At 40.7% G+C, this 1,579-nt stretch overlaps 1 non-coding gene across 1 annotated transcript; it reads right to left on the bottom strand.

The window, feature by feature from the left end:
• Positions 1-209: 209 nt before the first annotated feature.
• Positions 210-282, bottom strand: SNORD65B (small nucleolar RNA, C/D box 65B). Its single transcript, NR_145746.1, has one exon. It is a non-coding gene; the product is annotated as a small nucleolar RNA, C/D box 65B (small nucleolar RNA).
• Between the last annotated feature and the right edge of the window lie 1,297 nt (positions 283-1,579).

The following is a 1,579-nucleotide window of genomic DNA, read 5'->3' as shown; positions in this document are numbered from 1 at the left end:
AAAATTCTAAGTATGTAGAAAAGTTAAAGAATTTTACAATGAAAACTCATAAACCCACTGCCAAGATTTCACCATAAGCAGTTTGCTACATGTGTTTCAATATGCATTTTTCCATTATCCATCCATTTCAAAGTAAAATAAGACATCAGTGCATATGTAAACATGCGTATTATTGAGTTCAATATTTATTTTTGAGTATATTTCTTTTTCTTCAGAAAATTGTAGGTTCACCACTACACAATCTGCTGGTAATTCCAGCTATTTGGGGTGATTTCATCACACACACACAAACACACACACACACGTATATATGTGTATGTGTGTATATATATATATATTTCATTTAATGTAAACTTCAGATACAATGAAATGTTCAAATCTTAAGTGTACATTTTGAAAAATGCATTCTTTTATGTAATGCAAACCCATATCAAGTGATAAAACATCACCGTCACTTCAGAAATTTTCTTTATGCTCTCCCTAGTCAATTATTTGTTTGTTTGTTTGTTTTTCAGAGACAGGGTCTCGCTCTGTTGCACAAGCTGGAATGTAGTGGTGTGATCACAGCACACTGCAGCCTCAAACTTCTGGGCTCATGCAATCCTCCCACCTCAGCCTCCCAAGTAGCTGGGACTCTGGTGCACACCACTGCACCTGGCTGTCCCAAGTCAATTCTTAACTTTACCCTTTCAGACATAACGACTATTCTGATTTTTTCCGTCATAGATTAGATTTGCCTGTTGTAGAATTTCTCATAGGTGGAGTTGTACAGCATGCACGCTTGTGTGCGAGGTTCCTTTCAGTTAGCATAAGAGTTTTGAGAGGCATCCATGCTGCTTCATGTATCAGTAGCTCATTCTTTTTTAATGAAGGTAATTTTATAAACCACAGTTTGTTTATTCCAGCCTCCTATTAATACTCGGGATTTGACTATTAAGAACAAAGCTGCTATAAGCATTCTTATATAAGTGTTTGCATAAACATGTTTTTATTTCTCATTGTTGAGTCACAGCATAGGTGTATGTTTTACATGTTTTTGAAGGGGTGTATTAGTCCATTCTCACACTGCTATAAAGAACTACCTGAAGGCTGGGCGTGGTAATTTACGCCTGTAATCCCAGCACTTTCGGAGGCCGAGGCGGGTGGATCATCTGAGGTCAGGAGTTCGAGACAAGCCTGACCAACATGTGAAGACCCCGTCTCCACTAAAAATACAAAAATAAGCTGGGCGTGGTGGCGGGCGCCTGTAATCCCAGCTACTTGGTGGGGCTGAGGCAAGAGAATCGCTTGAACCCAAGAGGAAGAGGTTACAGGGAACGGAGACAGCGCCGTTGCACTCCAGCCTGGGCAACAGAGTGAGACTCCGTCTCAAAAAAAAAAAAAAAAAAGAGAAAAAAATAACTACTTGAGACTGGGTAATTTATAAAGAAAAGAGGTTTAATTGACTCACAGTCTCTGCATGGCTGGGGAGGTTTCCAGAAACTTACAATCATGGTGGAACGTGAAGGAGAAACAAGGCATATCTCCCACGGTAGCAGAAGGGGGGGGGGGGAGGGGGAGGGGGAGGGAGAGGGAGGGA

This window comes from Homo sapiens, chromosome 8 (genome assembly GCF_000001405.40).
Source record: "Homo sapiens chromosome 8, GRCh38.p14 Primary Assembly".
NCBI lineage: Eukaryota > Metazoa > Chordata > Mammalia > Primates > Hominidae > Homo > Homo sapiens.
This window is presented reverse-complemented; position numbering and strand designations above follow the sequence as displayed.